Consider the following 25,319-nt stretch of genomic DNA (forward strand, 5'->3'; position numbering starts at 1 on the left):
TAAGGAAAGTACTATCCTGGGGAGTATTAAATGGAGCAATGGGTTAAATGCACCTAACACAGTGGCTGGTGTATAAGAAATGCATGACCAATTTTAGCTAATGTTAGCCCACTTGGACAAACAGAGGAGTCACCAAAGATAGGAATCATTAATTTCATTCTAAGAACTGAATTCTGCTTAAGTTTTGCTTTTCTTCCTATTCAGACTCCCAATTTGTGAGGGTCAGTAGACTAAACTAGGTGGTTTCTATCCACATTTAATTTCTTACCAGCCTTGGAATCCACTAACAAACAAAAGTAGTTTGCTAGGTGCTTTAAAGAGGTTTCCTGATTAATCAACACAGCCTTGGAAAGCCTAATAGGAGCTAACACGTATACAGCTGGGCACTGCTCTGATACTTACACATGTTAACCCATTTCATACTCAGTAATCCTGTGAGGCCAGTACTTATATTTACCTCAATTTTACAATAGAGAAAACGGAGGCATGGAGAGGCTAACTGGCTCAAATTCTCACAGCTGGAAAGTAGCAGATCTGGCCTTCAAACCCAAGAAGGCTCCAGAGTCTGTGATCTTAACCTGTGCATGTACTGAGTCTCCAAGAGGTGGGTGTTTTTATGTTCAGTTTATGAATGAGAACATTTTGACTGAGGTTACATGGCTAGTAAGTGGGAGAAACCAGGATAAGAATCCAGACACATCTGAAACCCATGTCTGTGCTTTTTCTCCTACACCACACCACGGGAATGTTCCAGGAATGGGGATGGGCAGTGATGCCCAAGGCAGGGTTTGGGGGAAAAGAGGTCTATGGGAAAGCTTTAGGCAGGTTGATCCAATGGGGAGCTCTAGGTATGAGATGACTTTCTATCATCTATCTGTACCACATACAATGACGCCAGCACCCTTGGGATAGCAGCAGTAGCTACATTTCTCAAATCTGAGTCTCCGGGTCCAGAGGGAGCTTCCTGGAGTGGCAGATATAAATAATCTGAGATGTACCTTAATGTTCAAACCTGCCGTGCTCAGTGTCCAGGGCTGCCTTGGTTGGTGCTGGTTTTCTTTATCTTTATTCTAGCTTTGTGAAGATGGTGATCTAGCTTCATTTCCTTTAAATCATCTATGTTGCTCAGAGATCTAAGGAACAATAGCTGCTAGCGGCCACTGTATCCAAATTTGGGGAGCAGAAACCACTGTCATCACCAGTTCTTTTCATCAATGAACACCAAGGATCACTAACTAAACCTGTATCTGTACAAGCAATGTCCAGTGCTCTGGCAAATGCTATACAGAACAAACTGAACAGTACCTATTTTCAAAGAGTATATAAACTATATCATCTCTGTAAATAAGCCCAAATTACAGGCGTTTTCTGAAAATGCAATTGAAGTAATATTAGACAATGCAAAATAAACTTGGAGATGAAGAGTTTGAAATTATGTACTTTGATAACATTAGAGTACTATACACTGCTACCTAAAAAAATGTCCTAAACCACCACCCATCAAACTTTATCTCTGCTAAATTCCTACCAAACTGAGAAAATCTCTCAGCCTGGCATGGCATTTCAGGTCTTATCAATGTGACCCCAGCCTTCACCTTCAGATGTATACGCCATTTTCCCCACACACCACTCTTAGAAACAAACAAACCAACTGCTGTTTCAAGAGTGCAGTCTCCATTTGCTGCCTCCAAGGGGTTGTTCACGGAGTGATGTCCTAACTCAAATTCCATTTCAGTCTCTCCTTCAAGACACACCTTAAATACCACCATCTTCTCCATGAAGCCTTTCCTCATGTCTCCAAACAAAAGTGATCTATCTCCTCCTCTTCTGAACCACTAGAGGTCTTTGTGGTATATACAGATGCATGGATATGCATATATACATACATATGTATAACTTCTGTCATAATTACTTATATTATGATCTGCGGTATGTTTATCTAATTTCACAAATTAGACTGTAAATGCCTTAGGATCAGTTACTATGGTTTACTTCTGAAGTTGCCTTTATAACCTCTACTCAGCCAGATATAATGCTTGGAACACATGAATTCAATAAATTTTTACTGAATTATTATTTTCTTAATAACAATAATGTTAATGATGTAGTGAACTCTTATGGAGTATCAACTATGGGCCAAAGATGACATTTACATATTGTAACTAATTTGATATTCAAAACCTTGTCAATAAGGGAATTGAGGCTTAAAGAGCTTAAATAGATTGTTCAAGATTACACAGCAAGTAGAGTTCCCAACTCTTTTTTTTTTTTTTTTTTTGAGACAGAGTCTTGCACTGTCACCCAGGCTGGAGTGCAGTGGCATGATCTCTGCTCACTGCAAGCTCCACCTCCTGGGTTCACGCCATTCTCCTGCCTCAGCCTCCTCAGTAGCTGGGACTACAGGCGCCCGCCACCATGCTGGGCTAATTTTTTGTACTTTTTAGTAGAGACGGGGTTTCACCATATTAGCCAGGATGGTCTTGATCTCCTGACCTTGTGATCCACCCGCCTCAGCCTCCCAAAGTGCTCAGATTACAGGCGTGAGTCACCGCAACCGACCCCCAACTCTTAACAATGCAGCAGAGTGTGCTTTGGATTTAAATCCAAATTTACTAGACTCGGAACCTGAGCCCTAGTCAGCATTATATAAAAGTGATAAAATTCAAAATATATATTGTTTTTAATTTTTACATAAATGAATTTAGCAAGTATGAAACAAATCTGTAGACTGTGGTAGTGAGGAGAACGACTTTTCAAAATTACTCTCAAGAACTAGAAATGAGTTTGAAAGTTAAAGATATATATATATATATATATATATATATATATATGAAGCTTTATTACTACAGGACAAAAAATGTAAAAGAGACTATTTGAGGCATTTATTTAGAAGAACGATTCATGAGCGAATTGAATTTTCATCCTGTAATAGAAAAACCACACTTGAGAGTATGACAGAGTAGGGGGAGAATTCTGGGTGTAACATTCTTAGCCTTGGTCCTTGGAGAAGATACTTAATCTTTCTAAGCCATCATGTTCCCAAATGTTAGATAAGAATAATAATTATTGCTTTCAGAGATAATGCAAATATTAGAAGGATATAAGGTATGTAGAAAGTTTATTAGAGTATATGGAAGAAAGTAGTAACTCAACAAATGATGGGTACTGTTAATATTATTATTATTATTTTGATGCCCAAGTGAGCATGCTAACCCAGCGTTCTTGAGAAGAGTGGAGAGGCAGAGCTGCCCTTACTGCTCCCAGCTCCTCACATGGTGACAGAGTGCACTATTCCTAGAAGCAGAAGGGAAAACAAATGCCAGCAGCACAGCCATCCTCCCAAACCTACCACTTCCTTCTCTTCTAAACTGATTCCCAAACCCATTCTCTTGTACCTAAAAGAACTAAAAGCCAAAACATCGAAATCAAGTTGGATTCTGACTTCAGAAAAATCTATCCACTTATATTCTCAATGCCTGCCTGACCAGCCAGCTTCCACCTTCTTTCAGAGAACAAGCTCTTTGGAAGCAATGTAAGTCGCATGGCATTCAGGCATCCGTCCTATAGGCATACAAATGCCATACCCACCTTTTTTTTTGTTTTCAGATATTCCTTATTATCTGAACCTCACTTTCTTCAAATATTAATTGGAGATAATATCTCCTGAAAGAGCTGCTCTGAGAAATATACGTGACTATGACTATTCGGTACCCAAAATAGAGTAGGCACTAAATAGTGACTAATTCATTCTTTTTCTCCGTCCTACATTCCTCCTAAGTGGAGAATCATCCAAATCATTGGGTGAGTGTGCTCTCGTCTCTAACTAGCACCTGCCACCATGATTGGATGGTTAGGACTGAAAAGTGCTATCTTATTTAAATAAGACATAGAATGGGAATTAAAGGATGAGTTACAGACATTATTGATTATAGCTATGACCAAACCAATGAGCTGAAAGTGACAGGCTCTTCCTTTTTCTTTAAAACAATCCTTGAAAAATATCTGAGCTATTTAGTCTCCTGGAAAACTGTACATGGGAAACCCCGATCTCCAGAAAGTAAAAAGGGCCCCCAAAAATCGACCTTTTTTTTTTTCTCTGCCAGCTTGTCAAATGGAGAAAAGAGAACACAAACATGAAGGCTGGATTTGGGGCTTCTAACACATTTTAGCAACTTATTTTACATATATATATATATATATATATATATATATATATATATATGTAAAACATTATCTGGGGCAAGGTCTAACACATTTCAAACCATTATGACAGAGGCAATTTGAAGTCAACTATCACAGGACATGTGATAAAGTTACTTTAAGGTTATCAAGAAATTACTTGATTTGTTCACTGATTTCTATCTTATGTGTTAGGAACTTTTCATTATTTTACAAATTAGTAAGTCATTGCTCCTAAAATTAAAAAAAAAGATGAACATCCAAACTTAATGGATTCAACAGACATTCTTAACATTCAATTTACACATTTAGCTACTGAAAATAAAACTTCATTCTTCCTTTCCCCTTCATTTTCTTATTTCCCGTTTGTTATCTGTTGAGGGAGAGAGAGAGCGCGCATCACAGGAAGGGAACCTCCAATACTTTGTCAATATTAAAGGAACCATAAAATATCAGGTTTTCTAAAGAAACACCAACAATTCTCCTAAGAATAAATATGTAGCATATTCACATATGTAAATTACTATAATAAAATTAATATTATTATGTGTAATTTATCCCCAATAATTTCATATGTATATATGTGAGGTGTGTGTATACACGTGAGTGTATCTGTATAGTCATTCTTTCTCTCACACACACATACACTCAATAAATCCAAAAGGCATGCTCTGTGAGGTTCTAAGAGAAAAGGACTTAAATTGCCCAGGGAGCGGAGCAGCCTTTAAATAAATCTGAAGTGCTCTTGTAATTGAGGTACAGCTCCTGCTTTTCAGCAAAGCACTGGTGCTGAGGCCTCTTCATTTAGAAATTCTCAAATTCTTTTTTCAGATATTTGTTCCCTGGTCAGCTTAGTCCCATTGGCACTTTCACCTGAAAAGGAGGGAGGTGGCGAAATAGAAATACGTGCCCCGACTCGGGAAGTGGGAGTCCCTTTCACACCCCAGCAATTGATCCCCTCTCTCCTCGCCGGCCCGCCCGCCGCTGCTCTTCTTCCAGGCACAATCGAAGAGGAGGCAGTGAGCGAGTCAAGGCCACAGAGTGGATGGAATCAAGGTTCACCCCCAAAGCTCACCTCCTTTGCAACCCGGATCCCCACTCCTCACCACCTACGGCCCCTCTTCCCTTCCATCCCCGCCCAGTCACCCAACGCTGAAGCCACCGCGGGGTGTGGGGGGGTGACGTGTGGGAAGAGCTGGGGGCTTCCTTCGCACCCACCCTCACGCGCCCTAGAATGTCCTCTGGGGAAGGGGCTGCCCATAACTTGGAGGAACTTAGAAGGCAAAACCTACTGCGCCCCAACCCTTAGAGGGGCCTCAACCCCGAAGGCGAGGGGCGAGATCAGGGACTCGGCGACGAGGGCGAGCGCCCCCGGGCTTACCACGAGCACGGGGACCCCGGCGGCCAGCGAGTAGAGGAGCACGGGGGGCACGGCGCTGCTGTCCTCCGGGCCCGGGTAGGGTTTGCGGTAGGCGCTGTCGTGGCAGAAGAAGCCCTGCACGTTCACGGTGAACGTGTCCGTATACTCGAAGTAGTACGCCAGCATCACCGTCCCTGCCATGATCACCATCTGGAAATAGAGCATGCTGCTGGTGAGCGCCGCGGGCAGCAGGGGCATGCACGCCTCCCGGGCCGGGCCGAGCCGAGCCGAGCGGGCGGTCGACGCGGTGGGCCCCCTCCCCGGTCCGCCGAGGCAGCCACCGGGGGCGCGGCGGCGGAGGCGGCGGGAGGACGAGGCACGGGAGGCGGGATGGAGCCGCTGGAGGAAGAGGCGGAGGCAGGTCCGGGCTTCGAGGCGCCGGCAGGCTGCAGAGGAGGCGGCTACCCCCGGACGAGCCCCCTCTCCCCTGCCCGCCCCCTGCCCGCCGCAAGCGCCGCCCGCCCCGGCGCGGGGTCGCGAGGGAGGGCGGGGAGTCCCGGGCGACGGGCAGCGGCCGCTGCGCCCCTGCACGAGACCATTCGAGAAGCAGCGGCGCTGGGTCAATCCCCCAGGCTAGCCCGGAGGAGGCGCTGCGTGGGCGGACGGGGCGGCAGCCGGCGGGACAGCGGCACCTGTACCCCTCACAGGGCGGACGCTGTGGGGCTGGAGAAGCTCCTGGCGGGGGTAAAATCAAAAGGGGGGGAGGGGAGGCAGTAGAGATGGAGCTTCCAGAAACTCTTCCGAGGCACCAGCTGAGAGGTTTAAGAAACCCGCACAACGCCTGGGAAAATGGTGCGTGGACGCGTCTTCCGAGCGCAAAGCCCACCAAGGCGCAAAGTGCCGATGCGGCGCCCAGAGTTTCAACCGGTGCGTTCAGCCTGCATCCCTCGAATTCCTTGACCCAGCCCGGGGCTGGAGCCTGGCGGTGGTTTCTAGGCGCTGTTAGAAAAATCTCAGCGAGGTTTCTTTGCCTCCTCTGCAGCTTCCTAGGGCTTTGTGTATATATATATGTATATACAAATAATAATAGAAATCATAGCCCAGTAGCTCCCGAAGCATCATCTCTTGTACAGCGGCCCCTTCCTGGATCCATGCATTCTCTTGCTCATCTTTTCAGTCTGTCTTTATTAGCTGCTTGTGAGAGGAGGCATTGCAGATTCCAGGCACTGAGCGGTCCCAGCCACCAGGGTAGGAAAAAGGACTATTTGCCTCATCTCGTTCTTTATTCCCTGAATTCCAGGGAACTGCAGGGATTCCTCAGGGGTCGGGATAAAGGAGAGGGAGACCAATGCTGGCTCACAGCACATGCATACAAAAATTCATCCGTCCATGGCTATCCACGCCTATGCGTGGGTATGTAACTAACTATGGAACTGCATATGTGCAAGGAGCCCGTTCTGTCATGCCATGTGGGTCCCTGCTGCAAGCTTAGTCAGCAGACTCTCAAGGGGTCTTTCTTTGAGCCTCAGGCTGACACTCCTCTACTCCAGTGAGCAGGTGAGGAAGCATGAATACAAGCAAGAGGAGGAAAATATTTTTAGAGCCCTGCCCTGCTCATTAAAACCTGGAATCACCTTAGCAGGGTTCTAGAATGTTGGTTCATTGTAATAGGCTGTAGCTTGATGAATTTTAGAGGTGGGCCTTTATCATCAGGAAAAACAAAACAAAACACTGTTGGCTTAAAAATCTGTTGAAATTTGGCAAATGATTGGTAGTTTTGGGATGGGATAGTAAAGGCAGTGTGAGTTTCTTTAATGTAGTATCATACATACCTCACCCTCCGCATTGTCGTAAACATAATTCCACAACTAATTACTTAGAGCTACAAGATAGACAACACTAAGCAATGTGTATAACAAGCAGTTTTGGGCAGTGGGAGTAAGCTGTTCCAAAATGGACATGAGCAGCTTATATTATGAAAATATAACTACTACAAAGATACATGTTTTAAGGCTTCATTAAGAAAATCATTCTGAGACTGTAAGGGTATTTAAACTGGTACTCTGGTTCTAAGTAGGAATCCCCCCAAACTATCTCATTCGCTGAGGAATGCCCCTGAAGTCTTGTTTATAGACATTTTTCCAATTTTTGGAAGAATGATGTTAATTTTTAAGGGCAACTCATTTCTTCAGTCTAATGAAAGTGAGCATTATTTTCACAATTAAGACTCATTGTATTGCGTTGTTAATGTGTATGGAGTGCCCAGCACAGTACATGCAACACAGCAGAGTCCTTGTCTGACCTGTTCACTGCTGTGTCCCCAGCATGAGCACTGCACTGTATTGCACATTATGGTTACTTAAGAAAAATTTGTCGAGTAAATAAACGAACTGACTCCTCTAAGTACAATGGGAAACTGTTTTCACGTACAAAATTTGTCAAGGGTTAAGGAGTCAGAATCCGGATAAACACAGCCCACATACTTACATGGTCACACTGAAGTAAAAGGTGTAAGTTCAGCATAAGAGCAGTGACTCTGGTATTGCCTCAGTGCAAATGCTAGCTCTGCCACTTACCACCTCTGGAAGCCTGGGCATGATGTCCGAACTCTTTCTGCCTTAGTTTCATCACCAGTAAAATTGAGATAATACTAGTACCTAATTTACAAGGTGGCTATAATGATTAAATGATGCTAAGCTTATTATGTCTGGCACATTTTGTAAAATTTAATTTCTACATAAATGTATCTAACCTACCTTAAGTAACTCAGGGCATTTCAACAGCCATCACCAGTCACTTTCTTCTCATTTTATTGCTTACAGAATGATTCTGGTTGAACCCATATTTTTGTAAGTGTGCAAATATTTTTATAGATTTGTGCACCTTCTGTCTTCTCCTTTAAATGCTATCCATCTCAGGAATAAGATATTATATTCCTTCAGAATTCTAATATCCCCCATTATTTGTCTGTTTTAGATGGTGAAAGAATGTCGTTGACTGATTCATGGTTGGATAACAATCCAGTGCTGAAATTCAAAGTTAATATTGAATCTTAACACATGTTATAAGGATACCAGTATTAAATTCACCTTCCATGAATATTTGAGCAGACTAGGTATTCATAGAAGTGGTTCAGGGTGGATGAAAGAGCATGAGTTATGTGCCCTTGGGCTAATTCCTTTACCTTCCTAAGCCTGAGCTGCTTCGGGGGCAAAATGAAGTAATTTTTTTAACGTTTGGGTTTATTTTGGCAATTAAATGAGAATATGTGAGCTACCTGGTCCAAAGTAGGCACTTATTTAGATGTTTCTTCACTTTATTTTCTATTAAGTCACTTAAGCTAATTCTTTTCCAAAATATATCTTTCCAACTGCAAAGAATCCCTTGGAATCCTGCCTCAATTTTTACTTAAGTTTCTGGCTCTTTCTAGATGAAAAACAGCACTACTGATATTTAATCCTTTACAATCCTGCCTGAATCCTTAATTTCATTCTTAGGCACATCATTGTGCTTTCAAATGTATTATAGCTGTCAGTCTTAGCAAAACACTGTCTTGTCCTTCAAACTGTCCCTATCTCAGCTGCTACCAACGTGAATAATCTAGATTAAAAATGTGGAATTCATAACTTTTATTTTCCAATTTCTCATCATTCATATTATAGTTAGATGTGCATGACTTAACCACTCCCACTCCCACTTTGTTTCTCCGCCATAAAACATGAACCATGGTAAATGTTAAGACAAATCTTGGGAGAAACATTTATCAATTCCAATACCTCTCTCCACCCCAATACTGTATGCTCTTGGAAGAAGATGAAGATGCTTACAAGAAACAGTTCTCTCAATACATAAAGAACAGTGTAACTCCAGACATGATGGAGGAGATGTATAAGAAAGCTCATGCTGCTGTACCAGAGAATCCGGTCTATGAAAAGAAGCCCAAGAAAGAAGTTAAAAAGAAGAGGTGGAACCGTTCCAAAATGTCCCTTGCTCAGAAGAAGGATTGGGTAGCTCAAAAGAAGGCAAGCTTCCTCAGAGCTTAGGAGCGGGCTGCTGAGAGCCAAACCAAACAATTTTCTATGATGATTTTTCAGATATAGATAATAAACTGATGAACAGCAACTAAAAAAAAAAAAAAAAACTAGTAAGGTGCTCAACTAGCATGGGAAGATATAGTCCTCATCCATAAGGTTTATAATTCTTCTTTCACAGACAGAAGATGGATGTACAAAAAGTCAAGGTGGAGGAGACCTCTATCTTCGTAGGATAGAGGATAGTCCTTGAATGGGCGAGCATTGAATATTTGTGGATGGCTTAGATAAGTGAGTGTATTCTTCCTATTTAACTTCGAAAACCTAAGGTGTCTGCTAGAAAAGTACAGTACATCTGTACCTGGCTCCTCAAGATTATTATCAGTTTGGTTCTATACAACAAATCTTTTATTGTTGAGAGAGCTAGATTGAGATTTTCCTCTAAGGGCCAAGGATTTGACCTTCATTGGTTTATAGACATAATGTTGTTGGCAAAGACATACCTGAGCATTTCCAAAAAAAAAATACAGAATGTTAAATGTTGATTTCCATGTGTTTCGGGTAAATAGTACATAAGCCAAGCCATTTTCCTGAAATGTTCTCATTCCATATGCAAAAACAGAGAAAAAAATTTTAGCTGAGATGGTGTAATATGAAGGATTGAGACAGTTTTACATAAGACAAACGGGAAGCATCTCCAAAAGAATAGATTTCTCCTTTAAACAACAACAACAACAGCAACAAAACCTGTATTCATAATGTCAAACCTGAGCTAGAGATAGTTAAGGAGATTCAAGGGTGCACAAAGTTAGATGAGTATGAACTAATGAGGAACTTCAAATATTAACATATAGATTGGTGGAAGATCTCATAGGGGAAAATTTGGAAAGAGATATTTTTAATAGACCAGGTAACTGCTTTCAGAATAAGTAAGAGTATCTGGTATTTTATTCTAAAATTATTTAAAAGCCTACAAAAGGCAGTATCTAGCAGCTTTTTACTGGACTGAATCTGGAGAATGAACAAATACACTAGTCTACTAACTCCCAGACTACTTGATGTGAGGAATGCCCCTGAAGCTTGAATAAGAGAAATAAGATGTAGAATCTGGTTAACTCAAGAAATGTGTGCTTAAAGACATTCACATAAATTCAAAGATACAAAATTCTGAAAGGCAAATTTGAAAAGGTAGGAACATTTGGGATTACACCCTTGACCTCTTCATATTGACATCATACGGTACTATATCCTCACAAAATGATTTCCAGTGCTTAATTTAGGTTGTAGCTGCTTTCTTAAGCAAACAGGAAGAAAAACAGCTAGGGTAGTAATTGGAGTGTCTGTCTTTGAGTTTCCAGTTGTTATGGGATATTTATCTCAAAGGCCAGATGCATCTGACCTGGACAAGTCGTATTTATCTTGGGACCGCTGAGATGTCTTTAAAATGCCTTACTCTGCGACTGTATTATAGCTTATTCTGTTCTACATTTCCAGTATTTTAAGTTTTCACTTTTAACACAGTTATCACAAACAGAACGTATATTTTATTAGAGAATCTAGTTATATTTCACCGAAGGTACAGATGTGAAATTAATGGACCAGGTGAAAAGAGCTAAAATAAAATAAAATATTAAGGCTGGGAAAGAAATGAAATACTTAACTAATATGTAAGGGGACACTCTTATGTGAACATAACATTTTTAAATTATTAAGTTAGCAAAAGTTAATTGGAACATGCTGATAATGTTTACTGTGTAAACCTGGCAATTACTTAGTCTCTCTGAGTCTCAGTTTGCTCATCTCTAAAATTGGGTGAATGAATCTTAACTATGCAAAGATGTTGAAAAGGCTTATATTTATAAAATGCTTCATAAATAGTAAAGCATTGGGAAAATCTGCATTAGAAAATATGTGATCAGGAAAAGAGAATGACTAATCTAAGTAGGTCCCGGGTTTTCTTCCCATCACTGGGTTCCAACTCACAAAAACTCAGATTCATCACTGCCTGGTCTGTTTTCACATCTGTGAATATTGGATTGTTTACTATATGTGTTAATCATAAAAATACACATTGTTAAGTATAAATCCATGAGTCTATAAAATCAGAGGACGTTTCAAAATATTCAAATTCCCTGAGAATAACTATAACAATTACTAAGAAAAGTACATAAGAGTGTGTCTGTGAAATATGGTGGTTAAATGCAAGGATTGGGGATTCAACAGATCAGAGTTTGTATCTTTGCACTGTAGAATCATGATGGTGGGGCTTGACCAGGTCATTTCAGTTTCTCAGTGTCTACAGTATCCTAAAATGAGGATAATGTTTCCTACTTCACCGAAGTGCCTTACAGAGCCTAGGCCATTCATGATAGCCACGATCATTACTGTGATTGTTATTCATCACCTACACTGGTATAATTCTGCCACTGCTGAATCAGCAAAACTTTCATTGATCCATTTGGAATTGTGGCAGCATTCCTACAGAAGTGTTTTTGTAACTTCATGTTTCTTAAAGACACTTGAAAGTCATTATTTGTGTTATGATAAATGAGGACCACTCTAAACTAAATCACAAGTCCTGTTAATACTTTGAGAAACAAAGGTTCTTTAGCACTGATACAGAACACATGGGGCAACTAAGCTGATGACAGCTGCAGGTTCTTTGTCAAAGCTACAGACTATGAATGCTAATCAGCATTTGCCTGGTTGTCCTTCAGTGTCCTGTACTAGGTAAATGACTGAAATAAAAATATGACAGAAACTAGGCACTCAAAATCATTCTTTATGTTAATACTTGGACCATAATCAACTATTAATTTTCATCTTTAAAAATTGGGATCAAGAGCAGATGAACAAATCAAGGTTCATAATCTTGATTAACGAAAACCTGATTTATTCATAACTGGACCCCCTGCCACACTGGAAGCCTCAATTAAATGGAGAACATAATAGTATTCTGCACACCACTTTTTGAAAGAGAAGTAAACCAAAACTAATGCTGTTACACCTCTTCAGTAAAGTGGAGATAGTTGTGAGGATCAGAAATCTGTGAGTAAAATGGCACCCCCCCCTTTCTGACGTATAGTAGTCACTAAATAAATAGTCTTGTTGTTGTTTCAAAAAAAACCAAACAAACATATTTCAGGCACTTTTTTACAAAATGTCCAGAGTTTACCCTGCCATCAGCACTTAAAAAATTCAATCTTCTACATCTTGTTCTGCTACAGTAATGAACAGTAAGAACTGAACATTAAAATAATGACCCCTGTGTCAGATCATCAAAGATAAATGCAGTATATTCAGCATGTTTTGATTACTAATTTAAGAGTTCTGACAAAAAAAGAGGGTTTCTATTAATAAAAGCTGTAGTTCCCCAGGATACCCTCTTTTATGAAGTTAACTGAGTTTTCACTATTCATGTTCTTCTATCTTTATTAGAGATCTATATTAGCCTAAAGATGTATTAAAGCAAGTCATCAGTGACTAAACAAGTGGAAATATTTTGTACTTCTCCATTAATTGAACATGTACGGCATCATTACACATTAAGGCATTGGTTATAATGGTTGATTGATATAATGAAATGTCTTTAGAAATACTGATACAATAACAGTGATACTCAGAAAAGTAAACAAAACAATATTCACAGTGATATGCTTCTCTTCCAAATATTTTCCCCAACTTTCTTTCAAAATGACTTTGTTTAATTTCATAGTGGTACAGTATATAAATACCTATTATTAATTATTATTATTTTGGGACAAAGTCTTACTCTGTAACCTAGGCTGGAGTGCAGTGGTGTGATCATGGCTCACTGCAGACTTGACCTCCTGGGCCCAAGCCATCTTCCTACTTCTGCCTCCTAAGTAGCTAGTAGCAGGTGTGCACCACTATGCCTGGCTTATTTTTTGACTTTTTTGTAGAGAGGACATCTCACTATGTTGCCTAGGCTGTTCTTGAGCTCCTGAGTTCAAGCTATCCTCCTGCCTTGGCCTCACAAAGTGCTAGGATTACAAGTGTGAGCCACTGCACCTGGCCTAAATAATTATATCTATATATTTTCTTTTGAGATGGAGTTTTGCTCTTATCGCCCAGGATGGAGTGCAGTGGCGTGATCTTGGCTGACTGCAACCCCCACCTCCCGGGTTCAAGTGATTCTCCTGCCTCAGCCTCCTGAGTACCTGGGATTACAGGCACACACCACCATGCCTGGCTAATTTTTTTTTTTTTTTGTATTCTTTATTAGAGATGGGTTTCACCAGGTTGGCCGGGCTGGTCTTGAACTCCTGATCTCAGGTGATCCACCCACCTCGGCCTCCTTAAGTGCTGGGATTACAGGCATGAGCCACTGCACCCGGCCAATAATTATATTTTTAAAGTTAAAATTTTCCATGACTTAGTATCTTCCAATTCGACAATTATTTTCTTTCCTTAATGAAAATTATATTCCTTGCTTATAGTTGTAAACTCTTGGGGAGAATATAGCCTCATAATTTGGTAATCCATGCAAGTGTGATGAAATTTAGGGCAGGGTTTTCACCATCACCAAAATAGCATTCTGAAAATCATCTGAAATTTTTATGGAAAAACGCCCTTGAGACAATTGCAGTTCGTCCACCTTTTCATTCTTCATGACAAAATACCTCATTCAAAGCAGATGATTAGGAAACTAGACAGAGCATGAAGGAAGGTCTGTTTTTCCTAAATCTGTTATCATTCTCAAAGACAAGAAGAGCCAGAAGTGAACCTTGGATTGGGCTACAATTTGAATCCCATTCATCTTAAACAAAGAAACCAGTCCCAAAGTAATTAACTAATTGTCTGAGGTCATGTAACTACAGAGCAAGGAAGAGAACCTCTTGGTTTTCTAATTTCCAGTTTACTTTATTACTATTACTATTTTCAGCAAGACAAAGTCATGTTTTTATCATTATCAAGTAGCTTAGTTCTTTGGACTGAGTGTATCTGTATCTATTATATTTAACTCTATCTAAATGACTTTTTATGAGAAAGGATTCCAAGCATGTCCCATATGTAGGTTCTCTGAATCTTAGTCCAGGTGTTGTTCTACTGTAAAATGTTGCTTCTTGGCCAGGTGAGGTGCCTCACACCTGAAGTCCCAGCACTTTGGGAGGCAGAGGAAGAAGGATCACTTCAGCCCAGGAGTTTGATACCATCCTGGGCAACATAGCATGACCTCATTTCTACAGAAAAAAAAAAAAAAACTAGCTGAGCATGGAAGTGTGTGTCTATAGTCTCAGATACTCTGGAGGCTGAGGCGGGAGAATCCCTTGAGCCCCAGGAGGTTGAATGCAGTGAGCCATGATCGTGCCACTGTATTCCAGCCTGGGTGACAGAGTGAGATACTGTCTCAAAAAAAAAAAAGAAAAAAAAAAAAAAAGCTTCTTTATGTATCTACCTGATTAATATAAATGTTAAGGAATAAAAGTTTATGTGGGAAATTTCAGTTTGCGTAATGGGCCTAACAACAATGTGTGTTTTTGGTTGAGAGAAATAAATGAGACAGCATATACAAATATACTTTGTAACTTGTGTTACAAAGGGATCTGCCACAGGTGTATTTGCAGTTTCACTTTTAAGCCCTGTTAACTTTTAGGATATAAGTCACTAATGGTGGCATGTCAGGGATGTGGCAAAGTGAATTTGGGACAAAGTGGACAAAATACATGATAAGCACAGGACTTCCGTGTGCTGTTACAGCAGGCAGTACAGAGACCTCAAGAAATTTCAAGCTTGAGTCTGCAGACTTTTAAACCTAACATAATTGTAATTCTACAGAAGCATAAAATTACTCTTTTGGAAATAGAAATGGAAGTTGCTCTTGAGTGACACAGAGTTTTCATTTTGGTGTTCAGTGGACCTGCAGATGAGGCTGTAGGTTTGAAGAGTAGGTGCCCCTATATCCCTTTAATATTTGATAATCTGTCTTGGTTACCTAACCAGGAGATTAGAGGAGAATTGGGTGTAGACACCTGTATCAGGGTCTCCTTGAGCTGCCATAACAAAATAACAACAGACTGTAAACCATATAAATTTATTCTCTCATATTTGTGAACACTGGGCGTCTAAGACAAAGACACCCATCAGGATTGGTTTCTGGTGAGGCCTCTCTTGCTGGCTTGTGGATGGCTGCCGTCTTGCCCTGTCCTCACATGGCCTTCCCCTGGTGTGTGCACAAAGAGACATTGATTTCTGGTGTTGCTTCTCATAAGGACACAAGTCGAACCTGATTAGGGCCCCACCCTTACTACCTCATTTAACCTTAATTACCTCCTTAAAAACCCTGTCTCCAAATACCATTACATTGCAACTTATGTCTTCAACACATGAATTTAGGGGGATACAATTTAGGTTATAACAGCTCCCGGAGTAGCTTAGACTCTACTTGGGAGGGTGTTACACACTAAATTCTACTTAGAAGAACCCACAGCTCTCCTAAGTCAACATCTTGGGATGTTTTATTAGGTTGAACTATGTGAAGTTGCCATTTCTTTAGGTGAAAAAGACTTGCTCACTGACAACTTTAATTGCATCAGTCTATACAAGGTCATGTAGGTATGCTTTATTGCTGAACTATCTAGGTGATCTCATAAATTATAACATTGAGAAATATATCATATGTACTCACTTTTAATGATATCATGCCTCCCAATCTGACAGATTTGAACTCTTTAAAGTTAAGTGTGAGACAAAGTTAATTTTTATTACCTCATTATAAAAGTCAAAAAGCACAAGTTAAAACTGAATTAATGGCACATAACTCTAATGATTTATTTGGCAAAACAACTCCACTAAAACCCCCTTCAATGTGATTTTCATACTATAAATATTGATAATGAAGGTCACTCTTACTTATAGCCAGAAGTAGGAAATGGCAAAATATGAGGAGTTTGGAATAAGCACACTCATATTTTTTAACTTTGGATTAGAAATTTAATTGCATCTTCTTGCTCATACTGATAAAGTCATATGCTATGCTTCAGGAATTGCAACAAGTCAATTACTGACAAGCGATGGGGTCCAGTATCAACTAAGATAAGGATGCTTAGAAATCAGCTTCATCGGAAGACTTTCCTAATGCTGTCTGGACCACCCAAGCCTTTTTTGCCTTAAGTTTTGCTTCCCTCTTTCCAGTTGGATATGACTGCCTGAAAAGGAACACATAAAATTTGCATCAATCACTTATCAGCATCAGATTACATGGTGTCACCAGTTCTGCTGGTTATATTTCAAACAGATTTACCAAATTCCTGGCTTCTAGGAACTCACTCCATAAGACAACCTTGTACTAGAAAGTCATGCAACCTAGTGTTTTGCACTTGTAAAGAAACTTACTTGTTAAGAATTTATGATATGCAAAGATCTCTATTATGCATAGTACAATAGATTATCTCTGGTCTGTTAACAAAATCATTCATAAAAAAGTCAGTATTAAGAATTTCCACACCTATGAATCAGGATGATAACAATTTCTAAACATATATACCAGGCTACCTCAACTTTATGACAGATGGGTGGGAAAATAGACATGTTTGGCTATTTGCTATGTGACAGACACTTTACATGCTTTAATTTTATTTAATTATTTTGAAAACCCTATGAAATTAATATCATTACTCCCTGATTTGCAAATTTTGAGTGTCAGAGTACTTTCCTACTTGCCCACAATTCATAAGCAGCAGAATTGATGTTTGAATCTAGATCTGGCTAGTTCCCAAGGTATTTCTATTGCATCATACTGACAATTTTTAATATGTTATACCAATTCCAAAAAACCATTATATGTATTCAACAATATATTTGAGTAAACAAGCTGTGATATATCCATATAATAGAATACTAATGAACAATAAAAGAAAAAAAACTCCATAATTTGGATGAATCTCAAAGACATTATACTTCAGGAAGGAAGCCAGTCTCAAAAGGTTATATACTGTACTGTTCTGTTTTTATATCATTCTTAAAAAGACACATCTGTAGTGGCAGAGAGCAAATCAGTGGTTCCCAGGGCTTTGGTGTGACCATGAAAGAATATCACGAGGAAGTTCTTTGGACTGATGGAACTGTCTTGCATCTTGGTTGTTATGGTGATGATCTGAACTATATGTGTATTATAATTCATAGACCTGTATACCAGAAACATCAAGGAAAAATATCTGAAACATGGAAAAAGAAGAAAGGGTGACAATATACTAAGCTTCTAATATTTTTATAGTTTTATTTTTACACAGAAGGTGACATGTTTTGTGAGAGTCTTTAGTCCCATATGGACAGATACATATTCTGAGGTATCTGCATTTGGCAGATGATAAACATGATGCTTACGAATAATGGAGACTGACATGTAACAGTGTTTTGAAATTGGTATGTATGGTGTTTATCCTAAGAAGTATGGTGGACACCACAGACAACAAATCAATGCATTAAGAGCAGATCCCATCCAGTAGCTGGAGAGAACTTAGTCCTTAAATCCAATAGTTCCTTTGCAGGGTAGCCAGTGGGTGGCACAAATAGGCACCCTGTCTCAGTGATTAGGGAGACTGTACCAATTCCTGTGGAGAACTAGGGGACTACGAAAGAGGCATTGGAGGGGAACAAAACACATTTGTGTCAATCGAACCTAGAAAGTGGAGTTTGGCAGGAGGCTGGGGCTGGTGAGAGGGGAGAGTGCCAGAATTCAATCTGGCCATATCAGATAGTAGGTCACCCTCTGACCACATCCACTGACCATGTCCACTACCTAAATCTAACAGCTTATTCAGAAATAGCTTAGGAACTTGCATCTTTGAAGGTTAATGATAGAGGCTTGCGGGGAAGAGCTGGCTCTTTAAAGTGGTTTACTTGTAGCTTCTTAGGATTATTGAACCTTCCCAAAGGTTCAGGAATGCTATTAAATGAGTTCATGTATGTGAAGAGTACTATAAACATTAGGGTACCACACAGGAGTTAGTTATTATTAACCTTGAAATTGGGAGACTGACTCAGTGGAATATAATTAACTAAAGGACTAACATCTGTAAGGTAACCAAAATACCAAATGCTCAGTCTTTCAAATTTTTAAACATGCATTTCAGGTAAACATAATCCATATGTGCTTATACATTGTGTAAATATTCATACCGCATATTAACAAACACATACAAATGAGTTGAAAATTGTGAATTACTCAGTAAAACCACAGCAGCCCGTCTTGATTAGAAGATTGCCCTTTCAGAGAAACCATTAAAATGCAAATATATTAAATAAATCAAATTTGGGGGGGTCAAATTTTCTGGGGACGTACAATCTTTTAGCAATATTGCATCTCTATGAAATTTCCATCTGAATTGTACTAATGATGTGCAGACTGAGAGTGCAATGAAAGAAAAATGTCTAAGACTATGGGCTTTAGCTGTACCAGATGTTATATGTTCTGACAACTAAATCAAAAGGAGATGGATAAAAAATCTTGGCACACACTTTATACATATTTGCTAGGAGAGATATACTCTATAATAAGTAATTCACGGGGAAAATTAAAAAGTGTATATTATTTTTAATAAACACAATTCACATATATCAAAATATTAAGTGTATTTACAGCATTATGCTAATATTTTTACAAGGCATACTGGGTAAAGGCCTGAGTTCTGTTTTAACAATGACCTTTTCAGGCAAAGCCCTTCTCCACCTAACTGATTCACAAGTGTTAAATCCAGAGATGTATGTTCTGACAAAAAAATCAAGATAGATAAATCTTTGCACACACTTTTTATATTTATGCTAGGAGAGATATACCCTGTAATAAGTAATTTACAGAGGAAATAAAAAATATATATTGTTTTTGACTAACATAATCACATATATCAAAATACTAAGCGTATTTACAATATGCCAATATTTTTTACCAGGCATATTGTGTAAACGCCTGAGTTCTGTTTTAACAATGACTCTCTCAGGCAAAGCTCTGCTCCATTCAACTGATTCACAAGGGACACTGAGGAGGTCACCTTTGATGTATCTGTGGCTACCAGGCTTCTCAAATGAAAGCTAAGATTTAGGCTGAGATAGTAAACAGCTATTTGGTCATGATCAGTGTCTCGTTTTGCTGAATGCATAGTCTTATCATTTTGAAGTCATCCAAGCAGTACTGTTTAAAGTCACTGTCTGAGATAACCCACTGGAGAGGAAGTCTGACAGACTCTCAAAACACTGGTTGTTGTTGTCTTGTTGTGTTCTGTGACTTCACCTTTTTTAACCCTGACAGGGCTCTCAAACTTCGCAGCTCATTGAAATTGCCTGGGGAAACTTAAAACTCTTGCTGCCCAGGTCACACCCTATACCAATTAAATCAGAATGTCTGTGGGTGGGAGCTAGGTAGTCACAGTTTTTAATAATCCCCAGGTGATTTCAATATGTAGCGAAATTTGGGAACCACTGCTTTATGGCCAATCTGATATAGAGTATAGTGCCTGACAGAGCCAGCACAGCACTTGTATTTGCAGAATAAATCAAAGAATCTAGCCTCAGGATAAAAAGCCTTCTAGCTATTGCAGCCTTCTAGTCCTGCACCCATTCTTGCTGTAATTTCCCCAACATTCACTCTCTCAGATAATTTATATACAAATGTTAAACCTCATTACATACAGATATTCAACTCAAAATATTACCACTACATTACTTTTAAAATATTGGATTACTAAAGATATATGCAATGATAAAAGCCCATGTGAGTGAGAATGTGCTGAGATGAATATTTTTCATGTACTATTTGTAGTACAGCCTTGTTGGAAAGCTATTAGGTGGTAAGTGACAAAAACTGGCTCCTTGACCCAGTAAGTCTATATTTTTAAATCTGTCCTAAGAAAATAATTGGGACCTATGAAAAGAAATTATGGTTTAACCACATTATTTACATCATAATGAAATGGAAAAATTTTAATGCCCAGAAACAGAGCATGGTTGAATAAATTGTGGAATAGCAACTGAATAGTATATCATGAAGCAACTAAAAATATTACCAAAAAACTTTTAAGAACACTGAATGAAAATCCTTTATAAGAATTAGAATTAGACTTTTATTCTCTTTTACTTTTTCTCTATTTTCCAAAGCTTTCTTTAGAAAAAAAATCACATTCAGAGTGGAAAAACATAACAAAATGATATTGCTAAGAAGGTCATAATATAGGTCTAAATTGACATATGAAGCCAAGATGATGGTGCCTAAAATAGGAAATAAATTGCATTTCGCAAGAGAACTATGCCTGTGAAAAGCCCAGTCTTGTTTAGCTTTGTGACAATTATACAAGTACTGTTGGGGTTTAGGGGCAGTGCCCTCACACAATGATCTGGATTGGTTAGGGGACATTTCACAGAGAAGGGAGGATTTGAGCGGAATCATGAATGTGTTTGAATTTTAGTAAGAGGAAAGATTTTGGCAGGAGTTTCAAAACCTCAAAACTTTGAACAAAAAAATGAAAGGCAGAAGTGAGATAGATGTGTTTGCAAGGCAAGTGGAAGATTGACTTAGCCAAACCAATCAGTGTTGGGAAGAAGTGGGAAATTATTTTCGACAAGGAGACTGAACCCAGATGCTAGCAAGCTTCAGTAGAACAGATCTAATAGTTTGGACTGTGTCCTAAGAATAATGGGAAGCCATCTAAACTATTTGATCAGGAAACAGATAAGATTAAAACAGCACCCTGTGACAATTATGTGGACATTGGTATGTATAATAATTCACAAGGTGAAGGGATAGGAGGCACACATACAATCAATTGGGAAGCAAAGGCAGTGATCCAAAAATGCAAAAGTGATCTTTTGAAAATTCAATCTGATCAGGTTACCCCTTTGTTTAATCATGTCGATAACTTTCTTTTATCTCAAAATAAAGAAAATATTTCTTAACATGTTATACAAGGCTCTACATGGCCTCTCCCTACCTCTCCAGCTTTCTGACTCTGTACCGTGTTCTCCCAAATCAGCACTTAGCTTCTTGTAACCTCTCTTCACCATGCTACCTCCAATTATAAGGCATCTGCACATGTGGAGTGTGACCTAGAGTGTTCCTCTCTGCTTTCTTTGTCTAATTAACTCCTACTCATACTTTACATTTCAACTTGAGTGTCACTTCCCAGATAAGTCATTTCCCACCTCCCTAAGCTTCTGATTATAGGCTCACATAGCACTAAGTGTCTTTGAGGCATTGCAGTTGTCTATGTTGAGTCTATCCATTTGTTTGGGCTACTATTTGATAACTCTTCATTCATTTTTCTAAGCCCCATGAAGGATGAATTGATGTACCTTTCTTTTGTATCTCCACTGCCTAAAAAATGTTCTGACATTTGGTATGTCCTTAATCAATAGCTGTTAAAGGAATGCATGACAAATAAAAAGTGGCATAGGATGACAGAAGTACAAATTGGAGAGAAAGGAGGAACATGAGAGATGTTTTAAAAGAAGAACCAATAGAACAAAGAAGAGTGATGAATAAAAGATGATGCAAATGATTACTGGAGAGTCATAGTGCCGCTGACCAAAACAGAGGGGAGCATGGGGCAGGGGATGGAGAGAAAGAGAGTAGGCAGTTTCAATGTTGGAAAGTTTAGACACACATAATGACTTAGAGATATGGACTTGGAAAGTATTTACATAAAGATGAGGGTCAAAACAATAAAAATGGAGAATATCCTACACTGTGAATGTATACATAGCTTCATATTTCCTTGTGGAGAGACCTCTACTAGAGTAATACTCATGGTGTGTCTTCCTCATTTCTGCCCAAGTGGGAGCAATGACTTACCTAACTGGGAGGGACAGTGACATACATTGGTTCACGTTTGTTCCACTAGACAAATCTTATCTACTTAAAAGATGAAAGATCCGGAGATATGTCCCCTCTTTTTGTGGGGAGGCAGCAATTCTGGGTATATATGTCTGCCCCACGGATCTATTTTGTTTCCTTGAGTAGTTTCTTTCAATCTCAGAGCTTGGACTAAGTAGGGAGGCAGACGATATTAACATTCCTGTTTAGTCACCGATCTAAAAGAAATAGTTACTATACCTTTGCTGATCTGCTATGTCTAATTTTGTAATTAGTTTAAAATTATTCAGTAGGCCTGGTACAGTGGCTCATGCTTAAAATCCCAGCACTTTGGGAGGCCCTAGTGGGAGGATTTCTTGAGGCCAAGAGTTCAAGACCAGTCTGGGTAACACAACGAGACCCTGTCTCTACAAAAAGTATTTTTGAAAAATTAATTGGGCATAGTGGTGCATGCCTGTAACTCATGCCTGAAGATGAAAGACAGGCCTAAAGTGTTCCACCTCCAGGACACATGTCCTGCACTCCCTTGTCTTCGTCTACTCCCCATACCACCCCTTTTATTCCCTTTTCCTTTGGAAAAAATAGCAAGAATACACACACTTTTATTTTTATTTTTTAGCGGCTAAAATATCTTATGAATGTGACTCCTTTTAAAAGAATCTTATATCAGAGCAACTAAAGTTATGCCAACTTCACCGATTGATCCAATGCCGTGTTTTGAGACTGAACTAAGTCATGGGGCACATCAAATCAGCATAGCATAGGAGAAAGACAAAGGAGAAAATTAATTTCACAAGGTTTTTCATGTGGTCTAGCACTTGTCAGGGAAAATCAAAAATGTGTTATGCGCCCTACCTTTTTTTTTTTGGTGAGAAAATGTTAAAATGTTTGAAATATGCGGTAAACAAAAGGCAAAAGCAATGTAATCATTGACAAGATTAGTTACATATAAAAACATTTTATTTATTAATGATAAAGTTATATGTAACTTTATCTGAAAACAAACACTATTTCCTCTTTATAATTTAGCTCTGTTATCAAAATCTTTCTTTTAGATCATAGAGTAAGTTACGTATTGGTTACATACAAAATCTTTATATTGAATAATGATTTTCTTCAAGTAATTTGAAGCACAGAAAACTAAACTCTATTAACAATGAACTTTCATTTGTTTTTATTTTTAAAAGTAGGAAAATGGAGTTATTAAAGGAGTAAGATAATTCAACAATTTCCCCTGAATCAGTGAGTTAGTCTCAATTGAAAATGAGTTTCTTAAAATTCATAAAAAGACTGAAATCCATAAAATAATGAATAAACAGTCATAGAGGGGTGCTGGTTACTTTCAGGACGTGATAATAAGAGCTATAACTTATATGTCTCTTAAGTGAGAAGTACTGTACTAATCAACATATTTTTTGTACTATTATTAGAAAACATTTCGAACATTTAGAAAAATACAGAAATAATGTTTTAAAAGAATCCCAGTGACATCCCATAACTAAGTGATGTTAGTTCAGATGTTTATCCCTTCCAAATCTCATATTGCAATGTGACTGCCAATATTGGAGGTAGGACCTTGTGGGAGGAGATTGGATCATGGGGGCAGCTCCTTCGTTAATGGTTTAGCACCTTCCCCTTGGTGATAAGTGAGTTCTCCTTCAGTTAATTCATGGAAGATCTGATTGTTTAAAAGAGTCTAGGACTTCCCTCCATCATATTCTTGCTCCTTCTTTTGCCGTGTGATATGCTGGTGCCCCTTTGCCTTCCATCATAATAATAAGCTTCCTAAGCCTCTCACCAGAAGCAGATGTTGACACCATGCTTCCTGTACAGCCTGTAGAACTGTGAGCCAAAATAAGCCTTTTTTCCTTATACATTACCCCCGCTCAGGTATCTCTTTATAGCAACTCAGAAATAGACTGATACGGTATTTTTAACAACCCTCCTTAAAAAATCACGGAAAATTTCAAAAATGTATCTAATTAGAGAATCGTATAATAAGCTCTCCTGTTCTTATTGCCCACCTTTGATAATCATCATGTTGTAATCAATCTTGCTTTATCTTTACTCTCACTCTCCGTTTCCCACAGATTATTTGGAAGCAAATCCCCAACCTGTCATTTCATCCACAAATAGTTTAGTATATATTAATTAATCCACAAATAATTCAGTATATATGCAATGTAAGCATATATGTATGTATACATATGCTTTTTAAAAATAAAAATAAAATAATGATTGTTAACTATTAAATATTCAATATCCAGTCGGTATTCACATTTCCACATTGTCTCTTTTCTTAATACGTTCTTCAAATAAGGAACCAAATAAGGTTCAGATTTTGCAATTTCTATATTAATTTATAGGTTCCTCTTCCTATATGTTTTTCCCTTGCAATTTATTTTAAACATTAATCATTTAAACCATAGAGTTGCCTGTAATCTCAGCACTTTGCAGGGCCAAGGCAGGTGGATGACCTGAGCCCAGGGGCTTTAAGACCAGATGGGGCAACATGGTGAAACCCCATCTCTACAAAAAAAATAAAAAATAAATACAAAAATTGGCCAGGTGTGGTGGCATATGCCTGTAGTCCCAGCTACTTGGGAGGTTGAGGTGGGAGGATTGATTGAGTCTGGGAGGTTAAGGCTGCAGTGAGCTGTGATCATGCCATTTACATTCCGGCCTAGGCAACAGAGAAAGATCCTGTCACAGAAAGAAATAAAAATTTAAAAAAATTAAAAATGAGCCATAGAGTCCCCATAGGCTAGATTTTGATAATTGCAACCTAATAGGGTTGATTGACATATTCTGTGGTCCCCTGCATTTCTGTGTATTAGAAGATTAATCTAGCGTTTTTGTATTTTTTTTTTTTTTGCAAAAATACCTCATAGGCATTGGTATGTACTTTCATTAGGAAATAAATAAC

The 25,319-nt window shown here is 38.9% G+C and overlaps 1 protein-coding gene and 1 long non-coding RNA gene across 4 annotated transcripts in view, besides 1 other annotated feature; one reads left to right on the top strand and one right to left on the bottom strand.

Annotated features, from left to right (window-relative positions):
• The window catches only part of PLPPR5 (phospholipid phosphatase related 5), a 115,542-nt gene extending 108,630 nt beyond the window's left edge, over positions 1–6,912 (bottom strand). For 2 of the 3 annotated variants that reach the window (NM_001010861.3, NM_001037317.2), the window contains exon 1: positions 5,561–5,987. In NM_001010861.3, coding sequence (NP_001010861.1) covers positions 5,561–5,797 — 237 coding nt within the window. In that variant the 5' untranslated portion in view covers positions 5,798–5,987. Of the gene's footprint in view, positions 1–5,560; positions 5,988–6,231 lie in introns of those variants that run through there. The other variant, XM_011540838.4, reaches the window with a different exon arrangement.
• Positions 4,845–5,819: an enhancer, noted in NCBI's record as "H3K4me1 hESC enhancer chr1:99469275-99470249 (GRCh37/hg19 assembly coordinates)". NCBI's record gives its function as "activates a minimal SCP1, AML or CMV promoter by ChIP-STARR-seq in primed H9 embryonic stem cells {active_cell/tissue: H9 hESC(primed)}" and the evidence as "EXISTENCE:reporter gene assay evidence [ECO:0000049][PMID:30033119]".
• Positions 5,402–25,319, top strand: part of PLPPR5-AS1 (PLPPR5 antisense RNA 1) — a 144,577-nt gene continuing 124,659 nt past the window's right edge. The window contains exon 1 of the long non-coding RNA NR_033940.1: positions 5,402–5,771. This is a non-coding gene — a long non-coding RNA (PLPPR5 antisense RNA 1). The remainder of the gene's footprint in view (positions 5,772–25,319) is intronic.

The sequence above is a fragment of the Homo sapiens genome, chromosome 1 (assembly GCF_000001405.40).
Source record: "Homo sapiens chromosome 1, GRCh38.p14 Primary Assembly".
NCBI lineage: Eukaryota > Metazoa > Chordata > Mammalia > Primates > Hominidae > Homo > Homo sapiens.